We start from the raw sequence: 23,158 nt of genomic DNA on the forward strand, positions 1-23,158 counted from the left end.
GTTTTAAAAATCACATACCTGGCTGGGCGCTATGGCTCACACCTGTAATCCCAGCAGTTTGGGAGGCTGAGGTGGGCAGATCACTTGAGGTCAGGAGTTCGAGTGATACCAACCTGGTCAACATGGTGAAACCCCATCTCTACAAAAAATACAAAAATTAGCCGGGCATGGTGGGATGCACCTGCAATCCCAGCTACACGGGAGGCTGAGGCATGAGAATCGCTTGGACCCGGGAGGGGGAGGTTGCAGTGAGCTGAGATCATGCCACTGCACTCCAGCCTGGGTGACAGCAAAACTCCGTCTCAAAAAAAAAAAAAATTACATACCTGTAATCACACTCGAGCAACAAATGTGAATTGGGCATCTATGCACGCTGCACTGTTCTGTGAGCCATGGGAAATGCAAAGATTTATATTCTTCCTGTCCTCAAGGATATCACAATATAGCATGCATGTGAAAACTTAGCTAAAATAAAGGATCATCTATGACATACATCAGATGAGTATTTTAAGGAAAAGGTGCTATGCAACTTTGGTAGAATGAGCTCTCTTTCTGGATTGAGATGGTCAGTGAAGGTGTCCTTAGGAAACAATATCTGCCTCATATGTGGGAGATTAAATGAGAGAATGTATGGAAACAGCAAGTGCTCAGCAAATGTGAGCAGAAATAAATAATACCAATAATCCATTAGCTAATTGTGATTTATTCTAATTTTGAGAGGTAGTACGGCAAATTAGAAAAAGTGCAGGGACAGGAGTGAGGAACCTGAACTCTATCCTGGGCTTTGCCTTACCTGGCCATGACCTTGAGTACTTATTGAACCTTTTTGGGCTTCAGTTTCTTTTCCCAAAAAATGGGAATGATTGTGTCTGCCAAGCCTGTTTCACAGGCTTATGATGGAGATTCAGTGAAAGAATGTAAGGAAAAGTGTTGCATAAACCCTAACAGGATAATCAAATAGTTTCCTGTTATTCTTCTTAGGCTAGAAATATTTCACCTTAGCACTTCTCTCCTTAGCACACCTATGGATATGTTTTAAATGTATTAGAAGAGAAACAAACTGTCCTGCCAGGCCTGGCTCATGTAATTTAGTGTTTCTATGTTACTTTAATTTTAAAAGTGCTTTATTATTACAATATTTTAAATTCTTTTTTACTAATTTTATTTTAAGTTCTGGGAAACATGTGCAGGCTATCACTGTTATCAATAATCCTCTAAGGGTTTTGTCAGACAGGTTATTGTAACCCATTGTTATTGACAGGGGAGGAAGGGCACAGGTGATGGAGCTTCTGTCCCAGGCTCAGAACACAGGGAAAAGATGAGGGCCCTTGATCCTGCAGTCCTAACCCACTAACCTGCACACGGCTACTGCATCATCAGACTTTGCCACTTTATAGACACGGTCAGATTCTCCCAATACTCCCGGTGTCGGAGCCACCCACACATCCAGTGACTTGTTGATAGTGCCAATGTGCTCTGGCTTGGAAGACACCGAGTTCAAAGGCAGCATCTGCCCTTCTCTTCACCCACCACTCGCCACCTCTCAGCCTCTGTTTGTTATTGTTTTTTTTTTTTTATGAGCTTGCTCTTTAAAAATTGTTTGGTCTCCTTTTAAGTCTACAAACAGAGATGGAGAAACTCAAATTCATAAGAATTATAACAGCCTAGAAGGATTAGGAAGGATGGCCTATTCTTTTGTTTTGTATCCGTTATGTTCTATAGAGTCAATGTAGTATAACTTAATGGTTCATCAGTGAGCATAGATACACAAGTAGCAAGGCTGTAGATTCTGCAATTCCCAATATTTAAATTCAAAAGTTCTCCCTTTATTTTTCCCAAATTGGATCCCTCAAATAAGCTGCCTGGTGGTAAAGGAGTGGGAGGTGAGTTTAGGGAATGATGATTATGTAGGGAGATTACTACTACAGTGTAAGTACCAGACAGAGCAGCCTTTCAGGCAGGCTGCCAGGATGGTCCTCTAAGGAGCCCCATCTGAAGGTCTGAAAAAGAGCAGCTGAAGATGTGTGAACACTGAAACGAAGCATTCTTCTATATAGTGCCTAAAGCAGGTTTTTTGGGTTAATCTCTTGCAGCTTTGCAATTGTTCTTACCGGATCCTTATTAATTTGAGGCTGTCCCTGCCAATCACTGGCAGTGCCAGGTGGAATATTATTTGGGGAAAAGTAATTCTAATTTTTATTATGTCAAATTTGGAATGAGAAAATGAAGAGAAAAACAGTATGAGTATTATATTGACATATTTTCTTTTGCTTTCTCATGGTTTATGTTGAGGTTGGTGTTGAGGTTGGTGTGAGGCCATTTAATACTCCTAATGAAATGAAGTGCTAAATTTTAAAACTTGCTACCTACTTTGCATGTTCTTAGGTTCATAGAATTTTCTTACTGGAAGGGAATGCAGAGCTATACAGTCTGGTTCAATTTCTTTGCACTTAGAGAACTCTGTGTAATATACCAACATTGTCCATCCTGAATTATAATAGGCTATTGTGTTGGGTATTTTTACTTTGTTATTTTTTAATTTTTTCTCCAGGAAATCCTTCAGTGTTTATTTTTCTCAAGCCTTATTTTCCATAAGGCTAATTGTGGCATATTGGATTATGATTGCATATATGACAAGATTTTACTTGACTGTTGCTTGATTTATTTAAATTCAATTTATCAAAAGCTTCAGAGAATACTTTTATTAAAACTATGTTTGTAGGCCAAATTAGTTTGTATTTGTATTTTGTCATACTGTCCATGATGAGTTTTAGTATCTTATGAGTTTTAGAATTAGTTCTCTTATTTTACATGTTTATGTGATATTATAATACTTTTTTTTCTTAAAAGATTGCTAGAACTCACACTAAAGCCTTCTGGTCCTGGAAAACAAACAAACATGCTCATTAAAATTTTATTTACCTTATCATATTTTGTGGCCTATCATGAAGATGAATGATTTTATATGACTTGTAATATAGTAGCAACAATAATAAAAATAATGTAAATCAAAATATCAGGGTAAAAATCTTCAAGTTCCTCCTAGACTACTTTTTCAAGCAATATTCAATTACACATTTTATTTCAGATGAGTTGAGGCTCATCATATTTTAAGAAGATAAAATATAATAGATATTTGTATGACAAACTTCAGAATATCTGGTTAACCTTTATTTTGGAAAATTTTGGAAAATCACTTTATCCTTAATTAGTTGTAAATATTGTAGTTGGGGAAGGTGTTAAGATGTCACAGATATACTCTAAGTTTCCAACGGGTTGAAAGATCAGAAATAATTTCATAGCTTTGTCATAAGGTTCATTTCATTTAGGACAGGTAGAGTCACTCCCAAAAAGTGATTGTAAACGATTTTTGACATGCCACCAGGTAGGGTATTAAAAGTGACAGTCCTCGTGTTTTATTAGAATAAGCCCTATCTTCTGGGTAGACAGTAAACATAGACCCCTTATTCAAAGGGACAGAGTAGAGACACAAATGGAGATGACAGTGTTGGATTTTGAGAGCAAAGACTTGCACAACCCTTCGCCTGGGTCTTCTCATCTTTATTTGGTCCACGTGATGCATTTCTAGAGCCCTAATGTGATGATAGATGTGAATCACTCTCTTCAGCTGTTCTCATTGTGAAAAAGGATAATTTCATAGTAAGGGAAGTTGTGATGCAGAAGGTTTTTGAGTGCCAAGTTTGAAGTGGGAATGTGTAGAGGACAATGCACATCCATAGGCAGCTTTCAAAATTACAAGCTATTATATGATGCAACGTTTGGTTTGAAAATCATGATCAAATTTCAGCAGAGCGGTAAAGAGGGTGGTGTTTGAGTCTATTTCCATGGTAGTACGGGTAGGAACCTAGGAATTTCCAAATCTTGTCTTGTTAAATATCCCCACCCTGAGTTCTTTATAGGGTTCCTGGGTTCTGTGCAGGAAAAAAAAAAAAAAAAAAGACCCAGAATCAGAATCAAAGTGCAACCTTATTTATAGCTGAACAGACAAGTAATATTCCAAATGAGAATTCCTATTAAAACAAAAATTCAAATGGAGCACATGACTTTTTCTCCATCTCCACTGTAAATCTTGATACCAGCAAGTTCAGTCTTTACTGTGGAGAGAGGTTGAGACAGCCCTCCAAGGTAGGGCTGTGTGTGCACATGTGTCCTCTCATGTGCTCACACGTGTGTGTGTGTGACCTAATAGATGATAGATTGTGTTGCCTGGAGGGAGAGGGGAAGATAAAGTTCAAGAGTGTTGTGGATCTTTCCCGCAAGGTAAAACCCAATTGACATCTCATGTGGGAAGCCTAAGAAAGATAAGAAAGACACACAGAACCGTGTGTCTTTTTGTTTTGTTTTGAGATGGAGTTTCGCTCTCGTTGCCCAGGCTGGAGTGCAATGGCGCTATCTCAGTTCACTGCAACCTCTGCTTCCCGGGTTCAAGTGATTTTCCTGCCTCAGCCTCCTGACTAGCTGGGATTACAGGCGTGCACCACCACACTCGGCTAATTTTGCATTTTTAGTAGAAATGGGGTTTCTTGATGTATGTCAGGCTGGTCTCGAACTCTCAACCTCAGGTGATCTGCCCCGCTTGGCCTCCCAAAGTGCTGGGATTACAGGCGTGAGCCACAGCACCCGGCCAACTGTGTGTCTTTCAAATGCCTTGGTAGCCTACCTGCTGACGTCATGGCCCAGCTAATGCTATAGGCAACTGGTCTGTGCTTGGATGGAAGTTAGGGCAGGCACCAGTCAAGGTGTAGGAAAAGGGGCTGAAGTTGCCCTTCTACAGCCATGTGATTCATTCATTCAGCAAACACTCACTGAGTGCCTACAATAAGTGTTAATTGCTGCGTTGAACAAGACAGGTGAGGTCTCTTTTTTCATGAAACTTACTACTCAAGTGGGGTGCAGAGGAAGGGAGATAATAAATAACAACAAAAAACCCAGATAAGTAAATAAGTATCAGTTAGTGACAAGTGCTATGATGAAGATAAAACATGACTGTGATGGCAAGTGGCCAGCAGGAAGCGGGGTCAGGAAAGGCCTCTGGGTACTTTATGCTCAGGTGTCCTTTCTCCCTGACCGCTGGATGTGGTGGGACTGGATGTGGGTAAGACCACAAGCCCACGTGTGGCACAGCTGACTATATCTTGAGCTGACGCTGAAGAGAGGCAGGAAAGACTGGCTTCTTTATCCCGTCTTCCTTTATTCATCAGATTCTCAGCACTCACCATTTGATAGAAAGCATCTAACATAAATGACAATATAGTCCTTCAGAACCCAACTGTGTCCCTGGATTAGGTCTATAATCAGGGCCCATCTCTAGTTCCAGGCTCTAAACCTGATTCTCACCATGGAGAAGGCAAGAAAGTAATTCAGGGAAGTAAAACATTTGTCCTCAAGAGGCTAATCATGATCATCCAATCACAGAACTGAGATCCATTGCTCATGGTTCTTTGCTAGAAGAGTCTACTTAATAATCCCTGGGCATTTTAAGGGGGAAGCTGGAGGGAAGATGGCGTATCTCACTCCAAATTCTTTTTTAGAACGAGTTAGGGTATTGTAAAAACTGAGTAAATAAATCACACGCACACACACACGTGACCCATACTTACCTCTTCTTCTTGGCAATTCCATTGATAGTAAAGGTATATAGTAACTTCCCACCGTGTGTATTAATTGGATCTTTATGGAGCAGAGGGTGGGGGAGATGGCTTGCACCAGAGGGCAGCATGGTAATAATACTAGCTACCATTTACTGCCTTCCCTTATACCAGTCATTGCGCCCTGTGCTTTACATACATTAGGTCATTTAATCCTTACCACTTTTTTTTTCATATGAGGAAATAAGATCAAAGGAATAAGTAGTTTGCTCAAAGTCCATATATGTCTGTAATTTTCCTACCATACACCTAGATGTGTGAGCTGTACATACTAAGAACACATTTTGGTCTCAGTTGTATGTTTGGATATAAATCTCTGAACTACTTTTTCTTATATTATTGGTATCTCTTTAATAGTCATCCAATGGAGAAAATAATCAAAAGTTTTTAGGAGATTCTTCTAACACATAAGCATTGAAAAGAACAAAGAGTTGTGGTTTAAAATCAGATTGTCTCATCCATTGTGACAAATAGAATGTAAGTGTTACTGGCATTTATAGGAGTTGTCCGTTTCTCGTCCGTATTCTTAGCTGGTCAAGCAAAATGGAATTTTGAATAATTCCCCTGAATCCTTTGGAGGCCTTGCTCTGCAGTATTCTTTTTTATATGAAAAGCTTGCTTGCTGTCTTCGTTCTGTCTGGAAACCAGTCCCCTTTGACTAAGAGTATAGGAGAACTCAGGCAATCAGGGACTCAGTGGAAAGTTAAGCATTAGCTTCTGCTATTCAGGGCAATTTTTGATAATAAAATCACCTTGGGTCCCCTAGCTCACTCGGCCAGCAGAGACTTGATCTCTTGGTGTTAATAACCCTTCTTACTAGCTTAGCCTCAGTAATGCAAATTGAAATTGTGGCTTGATTGCAGTTGGAACACTTGGGGTAGCTCATGGTTGATCGTGAGTAGGTGTGGAATATATAATTGGTTACTTTAAAACTATGTCTTTTGGAGCTAGTTGAGCATGCGTTGTAAGAGACACCTTTGTCAGAGCATTGTCTAATGGACTCACAGGCACTTGGAAGAGCATCTAGTCCCACAGTTGTCTATCTTGGCAATGAATGGATCCCAGTATATGAGTCAAGAGTGTAAGAGGGTGTTCCATCTCCCCACTGACCTGGATCACCCTGGCCAGGATGGTTTTTAAGCATTCCATGTCTGTTGCTTAAAAACCAGGTCTGCCTTGGTTTGTCCCATTGTAGCACTGCCTTTCAGGACAGATGCAGGGAAACAGTAACATCAGTGTTACTGAGAGACTCCTATTATATATTCACACTCAATAAAAGGCACATTTGTTGCAAAGAAGTCTAAAATTCCATGGAATTCTGTGTGTTGTGATTGATTATCGATCTTACAAATGATTATGTGTATTAAAATTCATTTAATGTAAATTTTCTTAAATTAGGGCTCTATTAAAATTTAGATAGGGACTAAGTTGGAATATTTTAAAGAAAGCATTTGCTGAAATATTTATGAGATAAATGTAACCAAAAAAAAATATGAAAAGTACCTAAGAAAAATACCTTTTTAGATAACTCTAACTCTTACTAAAATAGATATACTAATTCCAATATTTTTCTCCACTGATTTGAATAGCCCTCTTGAGGAATCCTATTAGGCCACCTTTTTGTTTGGTTGAATCTGAGTCATGCAAATAATAAAAATGCATTGCCTTTAAAGAATATCCTGTAATTAGACTGGCCGCTAATTCAGACTAACCTTTATTGTAACTAATGAGGCTTTTTATAGTATTTCTAGCCACTATCAGTTTCATGCCATATGATGTAACATTATTTTCACAGTCCTTTAGTAATACCATAGTTGAGAATATCAGACCAATAGGAAAGAAAATTTTGCTTAGGAAGTTAATATTATTTTCTGGTATGTGATGGGACCCCTGCATTTTCCCTTCTTTTCTTTTTTAAATTGGTGATTTGTCACTTTGACTTTTTTAACCATTGAGGAAAATGAAACAGAAAAACACATAATACAAATGCAGCTCTGAAAGGGAGTAAGGTAGCAATCAATTATTAAATGTAGAGCAGACTAAATGCTTTTTAAAAGAAGAATCAGATTTCAGAATTTAGCATTTTTCTTGTCATTTAGTTTTACTTTGGAATAATTGCACTTGCTGGGCTGAAGCTCTTGATGCTAGGCAGACTATGAACTGATAGGAAGCGCTAAGAGTCGCATATGCATTGAGCCGTATGCTTGTCTGCCCAGCTGATAATGTGACTGATTGGGTAATTCCTAATTCGTAAGGCCAAGTTTGTAGCAATCTGCTGGATCGATCCACAAGTAGTCTCAGCAAGGCAAGTATCCTGTACCTACCAATTTACAGAGGCAGTGATTCCATGATTTGGAAATTGTGTCATATAATTTGATTGGTAATTGATAATCCTAACAACTTTCGGTTCTTTTGAAATATTTTGGAATCATTCATATCCCTCACCAATAGAACTGCATTACAATCCTACTGACTCTCTCCTATCTTAAAGGAACAGTTTTGCAATTAAAATACCTGAGAAAAATCACATAAGATAACAGAAATATTAGACTACCCATCATCAGTGGGAATTGAGTTTGCCAGTTTTTAATCTTCCTTTTATCCCTTTATGCTTCTTTGCTTGAGATTTAGAAATTGAGGGCCATGATTCATAGAGAGGTAAAGAGAACAGTCATCCTAGCAGCCTCTCTCAGACTCCTGAACTCTGAGATGAGGTCATGAGATGGTCCATGAAATTGAATTCAGGCTGGCATGTGAGAGCCCAAGCCCCAAGCACGTTGAGCGATGTTTTCTGTCTGCTCTTAAAAAAGATTGTTCCCAGATACCAGCACACACCTACACACATGAACAAAGGAGGTTGCGGGAGGATGGCATAGGCATGGGATTGACACAGTCCAGCATCACCAGCCTCTTCAGCCATGGAGAAATGAAAGCTCCGGGGCCAGGGGAGCCACAGACTGCAAAGACAACTGCTTCCCTCCCACCCCCAGAGCAGAAGGACCAGAAAAAGGTCCCAGGGCTGTTACCAAATGTGATTTTCTTTGCTGTAGGATATAGTTAGAGAAAAGCAAAGTCGATACCCACATTTGGAATAGATAAGGCACACTGTCCCAAATTTTAAATTCATTTTCTTTTTGTGAGTGAGCTATTCTTTCCAGTTACAACAAGAACCAGAAAATGGGGCTTAACTTTTGTTTTAACATTTATGAGAATTAATACAAGGTCTCTAGTTATCTTTGATCTCACACGGTACCAGTTCCAAGTAAGCCAGAAAATGTGCAGATGTTAAAAAAAGGGGACAGCTAAATCTATCAACACACGAATGCCTTGTCAAATAACTATTTCTGCTGAAATTAGACCTGAAGATGGTGTGCAATCTCCATGGCCATAAATTAAAATTCTTGTAAATCACACCTTATTTAGAGCCAAGAACAGGCACCAGTCAGCTCCAGCCCCAGTGATTTCTAGATCCTGAATAATAATGGCGGATGCTCCATTGGTGCATAATATCTAAGGTGTGCTCATTGAGTATTGATAGGAGGCCCTTGGGGGGTTTACAGGAGCTGGTTTCAATAAGAACTTAAAGCCAAGACGATTGTTTCAGGCCTTCCACTCACTGTTCTTTTAGTGCTTCAACTACAGTGAGGACCCTCTGAATGAGAGAAGGGAATAAACCCATCTCAAACCAAACTAAAAACAAGTAACTTTTGAGTTTGAGAGTTGAAAGTTTTTTTTGTTGTTACTGCTTTTGTAAATCTGAAGTGGCGCTGCATAAACACCCGTGTGTTACCCTCTCCAGAGAGTTTGCAAATAGCACACCAGGTTCCCAGGAGACCTAAGCACCAGGGCAAGTGCGAGTAGGAACTGTTACCCACTCCTCTCACTGTCTTGCATATCCTTGGGGATTTCTTTGACAAGAAAGATTGGCACCAAAAGGAGTTTAAAAAAACCTCCTTTGCAACGTTTGTCATATTTCAGTATCTGGTTCCCTTGGTGAGTTGGTTTGCTGAAAAAAAGGAGTGTCTTTTCATGGAATCACTACCTCTGTAAATTGGTTGGTACAGGATACTTGCCTTGCTGAGACTACTTGTGGATCGATCCAGCAGAGTGCTACAAACTTGGCCTTATGAATTAGGAATTACCCCATCAGTCACATTATCAGGCCTGGGGCAGGTCTCAGTTTCTTCATATGTAAACCAGGAAAAATAATTTTTACATAATATGGTTGGTGTAAAAACTAATGAGATGCTGTATGCAAAGCACTTAGCAGAATATGTGCTCATGCACGTGCACACACACGCACACACACACACATGCACACACGCACGCACACACGCACATACACCCTTTTACTTTCACTCTCAGATCTTGTCCATACACTTTCTATTCAGAAAACTCCTTTATCTATATAGCCAGCCCTTGCCTCTGACCTGTTAGTATCAAACTTCCAGCTGTTACTTATGTTCCCATTTGACTGTCCTTTAGTCACATATTTCTTCGGGCTATGAACAGTGACTTTTTAAAGCTAACCCATTATGGTGGTGATTTTAGGATTTATAGGATCATACAACTTTAGAAATTTTTTTGAAAGATGAGGAATATGAAGTCCAGAGAATGTAGGTAAATTCCCCCATATTACAGTATTCTCAAATCTAGATTTCTGGGTTGTTGAAATTGTTTTCTACACACACAACAGAGCCCTTTGGATCAGGGAGGGCAAAGCATTGAATTTAGATCAAAAAGGGATAGTGTCTGAAGGTAAGAGAGGACTTAGTAGTGATAAGATGGTTACAAATTGTGTAACCTTGTGCAAGGAAGCTCGTTTCTTCATTTATAAAATAGTATCGACTCTTGTTACCTCATAGAATCATGCGAGATCTAGATTCTAGACAATATGAGTGAAAATGTTAATTGCAAAATCCTGCATAAATATTAATTTTGTCTTCTATAAACACACAATAGTTATATGTGTATATTAGGGACCTAGGTGTATATGTGTGCCTCTTAATAAATAAATTAGTTGCTAATAAAACAATATTCAACAAAACCCACTCTTTCACACATCCCTTATCTGTAATGCCGAATTTACGAACAGCTGTGGTATGCTCTCTGTGAAATGCAAGGAGCTCAGTATCTTGGAGATTAGGTCAAGAATGGGAAAAAATGCAGATGGGGATTTTGCTGCATGGAATCCAAGTCAGCCATTTGGGTGCTGAAAGTTGCTTGCCCAGAGGGAATCAAGAGACATTGCCTCTAAAGGGCTGATTCGGTGGGGGATATTACACCATTTTCTGCTTCATGGGTATTAAGATATTCTTTGAATCAGACAATTTACTGATTTACTGGGCTTAACTATTCTCTGTATGATTTAGAAAAGTAAATATAATTCTAGTTTCTTATAATATAGGAATTTATAAAGAGAATGCAGGAATGGCAAATTTGTTTCAACTTGAGGGCACCTCTTCAGTTGACTGGTTAATGGCTTAGAGAACTATGCAGAGATTTTGAGACAGTCTAGATCAAGCTGGGAAAATGCCATAATTAATCTAATCCAGTCTACTACAGGGTTAGGTGGGAATAATACATGTACACAGTGGAAATAGCATTGAGGCCTTGGTTATAATCCTGTTGTCTCTACCATTTATCTGGGAGACCTTAAGCAAGACTGTTAATTACTCTGGGCCTCTGTTTTTCTGATCTGCAAAAATTTAGCATGGCTAGGCTTTCTTCCGTGGTCCTTTCTGCTTCTAATATCTCCTGTTTCTGAGAAAAGACCATTTACACAATTTTATTTGTCTCAACTCAAGTACACCTTCACCAAGGAAGATGATTGCACTCAATGACGATGGAAGTGCAATTCTACTCTACTTACCTTCTATTTAATGGAATCTTGTGAGATCTAGATTCTCAAGAATTGTATGAAAATACTTTATAAACTGCAAATGCTGCATATATATTAAGCTACAAATAGTGGCTTCAGCTCCATCAGTTTTATAAGTAGAAAGCTCTGTAGAAAGTAAAAAATATGAAAGAAATTCTTTTCCTTTTAAAGAGCATTTGCAGAACATTCTTTTTTTGGCTATAGCAAAGGAAAATAAAATTAATAATGACATTTTTAAAGGATGAAAGCTGAATGTGTTTGACTTGGAACTTTTTATCATCCTTCTATGATTTTCAGAAAGAGAGACAGAATTGTTAAGTTTTCTTTCTCCATTAAGAAAAATGAATTAACATGCTTGTTTGTTTCTTTTTGTTTACTATAAGAATTTGCAAAATCCTTTTTCTTTCCAGCCCCCTGAAGTCAGGCTTAACATTGGGTCAGATTTTTTTTTGGCCTTATTTTAGCAAAATCATTTTCTTTTTAAAGTTCAAAATAAATATAGAAAGAAAAAGGGTCATTCCACATGTTTCAATGTGTATTCAAATGGTACAGACTTCAGACAAGTGGAGAGTGAGATCTCCTGAAGTTGTCTGGAGGGAGTTCAGCAAAAGCCCTCGCAGACTACAGCCTTCTGTCTACTGTATTCCTGCTTCGGAATTTACGGTTTTATTTTCTTGCATATCGTTATGTTATTTAAAGGGCCAAGAGACTGGATGGCTAGTGGACATTTTAATTAAGGCAAGGGGAGGGGATTAGTGAATCTAGCTCATGCTTGCTACTGGCTTTTGAGAAAAAAGACCCATTTATGAGCTCTCCGACTCTGTTTTCAGATCAAACTCCGACCCCAACGAGATTCCTGAAGAACTGCGAGGAGGTGGGCCTCTTCAGCGAGCTGGACTGCTCCCTGGAGCACGAGTTCAGGAAGGCTCAGGAAGAGGAGAGCAGCAAGCGGGTAGGTTTGCTTGGATGGCCGCCTTGAGAGGTGTCCTGCTAGAAACTTCCACGAGGAAACTAGGTGGCACTGCACTGCAGATTGTGTTGATGTGGCCTTGAAGTATTTTAGCCATTTGTGAGTATTTGTCTAATTTTTTTTAAAAGATTACTCCTTGATTATGGCAGAATTCAAAGCTAGATAAATCAAAAATTTAGTCAAACTTACAGATTTTTTCTATTCTCAATCAGCTGTTTTACTTTGCTAAGTATTTAATAGCAAACCTTTTGTGAGCAGTGAGTGCAGAAGAATAGAGCCAATGGGTGAGAGAACAGGCGAGTAATCTTCATGGTAGAAGAGGGGATTTCATCAGACTTTGGCCCATGTTGTAACTGTCTGTTTTCGATAATCTTTCCAGTCATTCTGCACCAAATTCATAATTATTTCCTGGTCATATTACCTTGTTCTAGTATTGAACATCTGTTGTTGCTGAGACAAATAAGTTGAGTACAACTGTGAATCATTTGTTCTTAAAAATGTAGGAAAATCATTTTGTGAAACCCTTAAGAATATATTCGGTGTTTATGGGAATGTGCTGAAATTTAAAATCACTTTACAAGAATAATGAAAGGAGATGGTGGTCACAAGTCAATGTGATGAGGATGCTTTTTGGTATTTTGTTCATTGTTATTATACAGCATTATTGAATGCCCACATTGTATTAAGAAACAAATTAGATACAGTCTGTGAACAGAAATTCAAAATGTGAAAGGTGATTGAAAGGAAAGACCAGTTAGGTAGTAATGAATTCTGAAGTCCAGCTGTTCCATCCGGAAAAGAAATTTTAAAAGGTTCTGATATTTCTCTAAGTGTTTCAAAGCCTTTTAGTCCTTGTCTATGTGAAATTATAATAATCCCCCCTCCACCAGATTTTTCCTGTCACATTCTCATGTCATAATAGTCAAGGGCTTGTATTTAGCCTGTATGGCTTCAGGAGAAACCATGAAAATAAGTGATGCTTACAAGAGGGGTACAAAATCTCAGTCAACTCGTTTTACTTATTTATAATTAATTTATCATGCATGCTTGACTCTCTCCTCCACTCCCCCTCAAAGGATATGAAGTGCCTTTTTTCTTTTTTAAACAAGCACTTACATAGCAACTATTATTTGCCAGCCAAATAATAAGGTTCTGAGCACTTTAAAAAATTAACTTAATAAAAATAAAAGACATGCATTCTATATTTTGTTGCAATAGAAATGTATATGTATATATATTTAAAACCATAAAAATAGCATGCAAGAGAGGAAGAAATTCTCATCATCTAGTCAACTTCCTTTGGTTGAGTAATAAATTTTTTTTTTGATAGACATGTGTATGTAGAAGACTAAGGAATTAAGTTCATTCATTCCTCAAGATAGTCAAAGCTGGCTTCTTAAACTGAACTATAAGAAAGATGTGTATTTCATCCATATTGTCTTCATTTCTGATAGAATGGTTTTACCTCAAGTGTGTGCCCTTGATTTTACTAAAGACATTTTTCCAAGAACAGTTTCGTGAAGCCCGTGGTCGGGGTGTGGTTTTAGATATTCTCCATTGCATTATTCATGATTTCTTATATGAAGCCCTGTGTGAGGAAATTCTTGCAGATCTGAATTCCAGGAAATGGTTTGCTTCCCCTGAGGAACTGAAATATTTTTCTCCTTATGGACATGAGAATCATGTAACTGGTTCTGTTTCTCTTTTCGCTTTGACTGCCAGGTTAACACAAAGCCAAGTTTACTGCTAAACTTTGAAAACCTTTTCGAACATTGTGACGAGCATATTTTACTTCCTCCCTAGACCAGACTTTCAGTTCTAGTTTATATTTTCTCTGGTTCTGATTTTTAATTTAAAAAACATTGTCATGCTATACATGTTTCGTGAGTTGCTTTAAATTTCTTGTGGGTTGAAAAAGAGTATAGATAATTAAATTTTAAAAATTAAAATAATTAAGCAACCAAAGTAAGAAAAGGAACTATTGCAGCTGTAGAAACATGTTATTTTCTCTCTTTTAAGTGTTGCTCATAGCCATGTGATGCTTTCATGATAGGTGTGTGGGTGGGGAACGGCCAGCCTCCCCATGGTCTAGGGCCAGCATCTCAGGACACCGCCGTCTCATGCCTCAGCCTCACTTGCACGCATGGGAAGCTGGACAATATTCAGGCTGTTGAGGCTTCTTCTTCCTTTGCCTCATTCAAACCAGAGGGGCCAAATCCAGCCTCAGGTGGCCATGGTTACACGAGAGGGCATTGTCTTGAGGGCTAAACCACAATGACTCCTCTGGCAGCAAAGACGGCTGTGTTGGTGGCTTTGGCTCTGGCATTTCTTTGGAAGTCACAGGGCAGGGAAATGAGGAGTAGGAATAATGCTCCCCCGCCTGACAATATTCTTTTACCTACCCCTTTGACCAGGTTTTTCCAGCTGTCAACATCCTTGGCATCCTGCCACCCCAGCTCTTCTTTCCCTGCTTAAAAAGCAGAAACACAGGTTCTTATTCAGTGCCTATCTTATCATTTTTTAGTATTCTTTTCTTTTTCCTTTTGGTCTACATTCTGACAATTATTTCTTTTTAATTCTACATCTCTAGTTGTCTTCTGATTTCTTTTCCTCTGAGTCTTTAGACTTGCATTGGTTCCCTCATTAGGTTTTAGTAAAGTGGAAGATGGATTAATTTATCTGGAGAATTTGGCTAAAGAAAGTTCTTGCTTGAACTTTCTATGTGTCTTACACAAAAAATATTGGAAAGATTGGACTGGTTCTGCACACCACCTTTAAAACTTCTAGCTGCAGTTGGTCTAGAAAATTCTGTTAAAGAGCAAATAGAGAATTGATCCTTACTTGACCCATGTGGCTGTCCATTGGGGAAAAGTCTGTTGTACAGACTCTGTCTCTAATCCCAGCATCCTTTTCCAGAAGCATCCCAATGTGTATATAGAATCAGCGCAGGCTGTAAGCAGGTTATGTCCACTGGAGAAAGCCCTCATTATCTGTATTAATACTATACATAGCAGACAACACGTTCCATAATAGCCTCAATTTCCATATTAATAGAAGCTTATAACCTCATAAATCTTTAATAAGAGAATTGTTTCCCCTTAGAAAAGCATGTTGTAATTCACTATCAGGTATCATAAATGTCAACTTGCCAATGGCTTAGAACTCAGACTAGTTCATATCCTGAAATATATAAGAAATTTTGTTCATCATTTTTCATTCAAGAAACATTTTCAAGTGCCCACCACATGGCAGGCACTGTCCAAGGCATTGTTGAATATACCACTGAATAAAGATGATAAAAAACAAACAAAAATACCTGCCTTCAGGTAGTTTACCTCTAGGGGGCAAGAGAAACAATAAATATGTGAAAAAAAAATCTATAACATGTCAGATGGTGATAAGTGTGATGGAGAAAGGAATAGCAGGGAAGGGGCACAGGGCATGCTGCGGGTGGTCAGGCAGGCATTGATGGTTAGTAGATGTGCAAGCAGAGACCCAAAGTGGGAGGAGGTCTGAACCAGGTACGTACTGGGGAGAAGAATGTTTCAAGCTGAAAGCACATAAGTGCAAAGGCCTGAGGCTGGAGGGTGCTCTGTGTGTTGGAGGAATTACAAAGAGACCCAAGGCGGGTGTAATAAGGCTAGAGATCCGGGTCTGGGAGGGCAGATCCTGGGAGGCCTTGTAAAGGGGCTTTGGCTTCAACTGAGTGAGATGGGAAACTATAGGACAATTTTTTGGGCTTTTTTTGAGACAGGTTCTTACTCTGTTGCCCAGGCTGGAGCGCAGTGGTGCAATCTCAGCTCACTGCAGCCTCGACCTCTTGGGCTCAGTTGATCCTCCCACCTCAGCCTCCCAAGTAGCTGGGACTACAGGTACCCACCACCATGCCCGGCTCATTTTTCATATTTTTTGTAATGATGGGGTTTCACCGTGTTGCCCAGGCCGGTCTCAAACTCCTGGACTCAAGTGATCTGCCCGCCTCAGCCTCCCAAAGTGCTGGGATTACCGGCGTGAGCCACTGTGCCCAGCCAGGACAGTTTTGAGCAGAAAAGTGAGAGGATTTGACTTACATCTTAGGAAGATCACTTTGGCTGCTGAGTTGAAAGCAAACTATCGAAGAGCAGTGGCTGAGAGAGAGACCAGTTGAGACGGTATTGAAAGAATTTAGATTAGAGATGATAGCAGGTTGGCTCAAGGTGGAGATGGAGGCAGTGGATAGATTCTGGATACATTTTGAAGAGAGAGCCAACAGGATTTGCTGATGGTTTAGATTGGGAAGTAATAGAAGCAGCAAAACCAAGGATGAACCCGGGTATTTGGCTTGAGCAACTGGAAGGATGGGATTGCCTGTGGGAGGAGTGGGTTTAAGGGGAAAATTGGGGGTTTCTTTTTAGATTTGCTAAGTGGAGATGCTGGACCAGCAGATGGATATATAGGTTTGGAATTCAAGGGAGAAGACCAGCCTGGAGATGCAGATTTGGGAGTCACTAATGTAGAAACGGTGTTTATGTACTTGAGATTGGGTGGAGTCACCTGAGCCAGAAGTGAATAGAGATGAAGTAGAGAGGTCTGAGCATGAGCTGGGCGGAATCTTCCAGAATTCTCTGACACAGAGGATTGCACTCCCCTCCGTGGTCAGAGACGACGCAGGAGACCATGAGGTATGAAGAATGAAATCAAGTAGGGAAGCCCAGCCCTAGCAGACATGTTGAATGGACAACTGGCATGTTGATTTTGTGTTCCATGTTAGAGGAAAGAAAAACAAAAATATTTTTAAAAACAGAAAAAGAAAAAAAGAGGTGTGTGAATTTTCCTTTTATGTTTAATGACTTAAAAAAGAAATTGCATAATACACATCTAGGAGATGGGAAATAGATTTATCATATAATAACTGTGTGTGTGTGTGTGTGTGTATGTGTGTGTGTGTAAGGAAGGACGGGTAATTGAAGGGACTAGAAATGAACTCCTTTGTCCTGCTAAGAGAAACATAACATTACAGCCTAAAGTGGTTAAAGACCCTGAAGATGAAAAGTGTGGTGTATAAGTGCTAAGTGTTGTTATTCTCCCATAGGACCTAAATCGGACTCATTATGCTGATGCAGCAATAGGAAATTAGGACATTTCCATGCTCTAGAATTCCTACCAAAATGATTAAAAGTGAAGTCCATCCCCAGAGAGTATTGACTGTTTAACACATGGAACAAGGGACAAGCTACAGTCTTAAGATCTTGGATCCCAGCTCAACAGGAGTCACAGAACAGGGCATGGTGGGGTCAGCCTCAGCTCCGCAAAGCAGGCTGTTTAATCTGATTAAATTCTGTACCTGGAAATCATGTTACCCGATGCCACCCATTACTTGGGGCAAGAAGGTGCGGAAGGAGAGGCACTTTGCCTTCTTACACTATCTTGTGCCCATCAGCCGCTAGCCAGCATCGCTGCTCTGTGGGGAAGGTATGAGTGGTGCTGGATGGAAAATAAAAGATGCCAAGTTGAGCAAACTTGCAACAGCTGCACATTTCCGGTTATGCTAACATGTTGCTTCTCTGATATTTGTGTAAAACAATCCTTCCCTCCCCCCAGAAGTATGGAGAAAAAGAATATTCTGAAACCTAAACTTGGTTTTATCCAGGTTTTGAAAATGTCCCCGTGTTTGCTTAATCCTAGTAGATGAGGCTGCTTTTGATCTTTTCATTTTTTTTTTTTATCAGCATGACTGAAAGGAAACACTCATTGACAGTGATATTGGAGATGACAACCTCTTTCTTCCACCACCCCAATGACTGAAAACCCTAAGGCTTATATTATAAGGATTCTTTTTGTCCTCCCATTTCAGTGCACTACAAATGTAAATCACGTTCAACTTTCTCCTTGCAGGTTAAAATTATGCCCTCATCTTAGGTGGAATTTGACGCTGGAAGGGAATTTGACTTGATCTTTGCATCCCACTCAGGGGAATGACTAAACCAGTGGATAAACTGGAAGCTATTTCATGTGTTTTAGGTCACTAGGATTTAGGAATAATGAGTACAATCTTAGCAGGGATTATTAAGAGTTGGTATTTACTTCCACATATGTGAATGAATGTGATCTCAGGTTCTGCTTCAACTTTAAAATGGAGTGGAGTTCTTTTCAACTCATAGGAGTTCATTTTTGGTTTGTTTTTGGGTTTTTTGGTGAAAAGACAGGGTATCCTGAAAGTAGCAATATACATAGTCTATTGTCTTGCAAAGAGTGGACACTTAATATTAAGTGTTCGATGTAGATGATGAGAGCAGCTCAGGAAGCTGACAGCTTAGAGGAATACTGGCTAAGATGGTGACAGATATTTGTTCATCATCTCCCTTGGCGAGTTTGCATATTCGGGTTATTTGGATCTTAATTGATGAATCCTTACAAGCTAATTTTCACAGTAAAGAAAAAAAGTATTTTATCTTTTGCGACTGGGGACTTGATTTTGAGTGCTTGATTATTTGGCAGCTGGTGGCTCTGTCTTCAACCAGTGTTAACAGGCAAAGTGAAGGGGGGAGGTGGTTGTGACAGTAATTTCAGACGAATGTCTCCTAGCCTGTGGCAGCTTTCATTGTTCTCTGAGTTCAGTATTAATTATTTAAATTATTTATCACAGGTTTTATTTGTTTTATTTATTTTTTATTTTTTGGAGATAGAGTCTTACTCTGTGGCCCAGGCTGGAGTGCAGTGGCGCCATCTCGGCTCACTGCAAGCTCCGCCTCCCGGGTTCACGCCATTCTCCTGCCTCAGCCTCCAGAGTAGCTGGGACTACAGGCGCCGGCCACTACTCCTGGCTAATTTTTTGTATTTTTAGTAGAGACGGGATTTCACCGTGTTAGTCAGGATGGTCTCAATCTCGGACCTCGTGATCCGCCCGCCTCGGCCTCCCAAAGTGCTGGGATTACAGGCGTGAGCCACCGCGCCTGGCCTATCACAGGTTTTATTTATATTTGCTATGACAGGACATTTGTTCTGGCAAGATAGAAGTCTCTGTCTGATGTCTTCTTGAGAACTGGCCCAAGGTTTTCAGAGGCTGGAGTCTGAATTAGAAAGGTTGCGCATTCATGTCATGCCTGTGGCGGGTGTTATCGGAGGTGCTAATGTCTCCCTTGAAGCTACAGAGTAGGAGGGACTGGAGAATGCTTGGACCCTATTTTATTTCCATCATGATGATTGCTAGGGAAGCTGGACGTTAATTTTGGGAAAGACTATTGTGTTGGAAATATTGCAGAGTAAAATAGTGTTTTCTTGCACCAGCATTTCCTGTTCAGTTGTGACTGGGGATGGTAACAATCAAAGGACTTACATATTCATAAAGCATATTCATGTCCACATATGGACATGAATTAATGTCCATTAAATATACTATTAATGATAATTTGATTTGGGCCTCTTCAGTTAACTGGGAATAATTATAAGTGGTTATACTAGTAATAGTTTTCTCCATTGGAAATGCAGAGAAATAAACTGTCAAGAGAGACAAAAAGGGAGCCAGTGGTTTATGTGGACCGTCTTGGCCTTTCTCTGACCTCTCTGGGTGTCCAGCTCTGCCTCCCTGTCTTTTGGATGTATCCACTCTTAGGTGGATTTTGTTTACACCTTCTCTTCAGAAAACCCATACATTCTCATAGCTTAAGAGTCAAGTCCACCCAGACAATTCCTTTATCGTACATCTAGCCCTTGCATTGGCATAAATATTGGTCTCTAGCCTCTAGCTGTTACTGATGTTCCCATTGAACATACCACTGCTATTCCTCACTCAACATGCCGGAAACCATACCCAGGGCTTTCCCATACAAACTCACCACCATGCCCGACTCCCCTGGTTCTGTTAGAGGCATGTTTCACCCTCCCACTCTGGGACTCAGCTCCCTCCCTACCCTCTTTCGTTCCACTCCTTAGGTCCAATCAAATTTCTTTAGACACAGTCCTCAGATCTTCCCTTTATTTTCCGTTTCTATTACCTCAAGCCTAGACCATTCTTACTTCGTACTGGGTTATTGCTGCGAATTCTAAGAAGGCTATATGACCTTTAACATAACTTTAAAGAGATACCTAGTAATAAGTATTATTGTAATAATTATTATTGTAAAATTGAATGCATTTAAAAAAAAACAAAAACTAACAGAAATGTTTAAAGTAAAAATATATATATATATGACCAGGTGTGGTGGCTTATACCTGAAATCTGAGCTCTCTGGGAGGCCTCGGGGTGAGAGGATCACTTGAGCTCAGGAGTTTAAGATTAGCCTTGGCAACATAATGAGACCTCTTCTGTATTAAAAATGAAAATAAAAAAATTATCCAGGGTTGGTGGCCCACACCTGTAGTCCCAGCTGCTTGGGAGGCTGAGGCAGGAGGGTTGCTTGAGCCCAGGTGTTCAAGGCTGCAGAGAACTGTGATCGCACCACTGTACTCGACTGAGTGACAGAGCGACACCTTGTATTTTTTTTAAAAAAAAAGTAAAGAAAACAATTGTTCTTGAAGCTGTTTGCCTTTTCTTTGTGGTTAAAGGAAAAGTTCCTCCAAATATTATCATTGTTAAAAATTAGAGAGATCGGTGTGGGACATAGTGGGTATAAAAAGGGGATAGTTTGGAAATTTTATAAACACAGCCTCATGCTGTATTTTACTACAGCAACATGTGGTCAGTTAATCCTGGTGCTACAACATTGGGACTGAAGTGGGGGCAATAAATGACCGAAAAAAGAAACCCAAAACAGCCAAAACCACAGTGCAGCCCTGAAGCTCCGCAGGCACCGCCCTCAGCTCAGCTGCAGCCTGTAAGGGCCACTTCTTTGGCCCGCCCTGCCCTCCCATCAGGCAGCCTTACTGCAGCTGAAAATCAGTCCAAGTGGATTCTAGTGGTTGGGATGATCCTCACTAAAACAATTAGGAAGCTCCGCCTTAAGGTCTGGGGAAAAGGTAGCTTTTCCCAGCAGGGAACTTTCTCATCAGGGTGATTGTTTTAAATTCCAGGTTGGGTCGGGTACTCAGCTTGTTTAAATCGCTTCTTACCTGTCCCAAGGCAGGCAAGCCAGGCTGCAATTTCAAGGTATTAACCCAAATGGAATCACAACATCGAATGGACACTCTCCTCCGAATGAATCCATTTCCAGCTGTGAGTAATTCAGGATTTCTGACGTGCCAGACAGGCACACAGAGTGGGGTGTGTACCTGGGCTCAGGAGGCCCTTGCATCTGCAGAGGAAGCTCACGCTGTCCTCCGCGAGGCCCTGCATTAATACTCCCAAAGGCATGCAGGAAAACAGATCTGTTTTCTGGGCCAGATTAAAAGTAAATGACTAAAAGATGAAGCTTCCGTTCTAGGCAGAAAACAGCATTCACATTTGGAAAACTGGACCAAATGATAGACTCAGCATCTGTAGCTAAGTTACTTACCTGGGCCCCTCACAGAGACGTGAAAAAAACTGACATTGTAAAAAGAGGAAAGGAAAATAATATAATAGTTGCAAGAAACTGTCTCTGCCTCCATCATCTCATAAATCCAGGTGAACATTAAGTACGGCTTGGAGCAGGTATGGGAGTGATTTACTCTGAGAACTCTGCTCCAGCATTTGTGTGTTGTTAAGTTATTTCCATACTGAAAAGTCTGAGGCCAGAACTGGGATTCCGAGCATTCCTCCCATCTGCATTTCCAGCACGTTGGCTGTCAACTCAAACCTGTGGTACGATGACTGATTTTAGTATCAGAACCATGCAGGGCCATTTCCCTTGTTCTTCACCCAAGTCCCACCAAAGTCCAAAGACTTAGGAAAGTTGATCAAACGGTGGATTTTCCCCCCTGAATTACTGGTACCTATGTTCATGTACTTTTTGGAACTAGTTGTTCTGGTGAGCCAGGTGGGGCTTACAAGCCGGTTGGGTTGGTGAGGAGGCTAGGCTGTTTTCTTTGGGTGGCCACGCACCTCCTGTCTGCAGTGGAATATCTGTCGCAGGCTTCTCTGCTTGACTGTTGTTAGGTTTCCCTCTGTGCTTTGCTTTCTGGGATAGTCAAAGCTATTGTTCAGTTTGTTAGAACTTGTGACTCTGTTCTGTGTGACCAGTCCAGTCCTCTTGTTTGGTTCTCGGGTGAAGCAGAATTCCAAAAGGACTTTACTTTCAGCATCTCCTCTAAGCACAAATTTGCTAATAGAACTCACTTGCTGCTGGCAGGATGAGACCGGTGTGTATGATGACATTTTGTAAGACAACATTCGAGCTATTATTCGAGAGTTTTGAAGCTAGAAGAAGGCTGTCCCACCTGCAAGCTTTCCCTTCATTGTCTGGTGCTGAGGGTGGGGGAGCAGCTTGCTTCCCAGTCCTCTCTGTAAAATGAGGACTTCATATTTTGGATTTAGTGTGGCTGCAGCCAGCGGAGCCCTTGAGATCTGAGGTATGTGCAGAATACACCATCTGTTCTAAGAAAACTTTGAAAGTTAATCATAGTGCTGACCGAATCCTGCCTGAGTTGGTGCTGGGCACAGCCTTTTTCTGGGGCTTTATGTTTGGGTGGGGGTTTATTCAGGCTCTGCAAGCAGTCACTTCCCCAAAGAAGAAAAGCAGTCGTGTTTTGTGTGAATGTCAGGCTGATTGACTACAGGTGATGCAGCACTGGGCATTTTTGAAT

General features: G+C 40.3%; 1 protein-coding gene across 11 annotated transcripts in view; it reads left to right on the top strand.

Moving 5' to 3' along the window:
• The window catches only part of CREB5 (cAMP responsive element binding protein 5), a 526,574-nt gene that overhangs the window by 195,915 nt on the left and 307,501 nt on the right, over positions 1-23,158 (top strand). For all 11 annotated transcript variants that reach the window (NM_182899.5, XM_017012807.2, XM_017012808.2 and 8 more), the window contains one exon: positions 12,381-12,502. In NM_182899.5, coding sequence (NP_878902.2) covers positions 12,381-12,502 — 122 coding nt within the window. The remainder of the gene's footprint in view (positions 1-12,380; positions 12,503-23,158) is intronic.

The sequence above is a fragment of the Homo sapiens genome, chromosome 7 (assembly GCF_000001405.40).
Source record: "Homo sapiens chromosome 7, GRCh38.p14 Primary Assembly".
Lineage (NCBI taxonomy): Eukaryota > Metazoa > Chordata > Mammalia > Primates > Hominidae > Homo > Homo sapiens.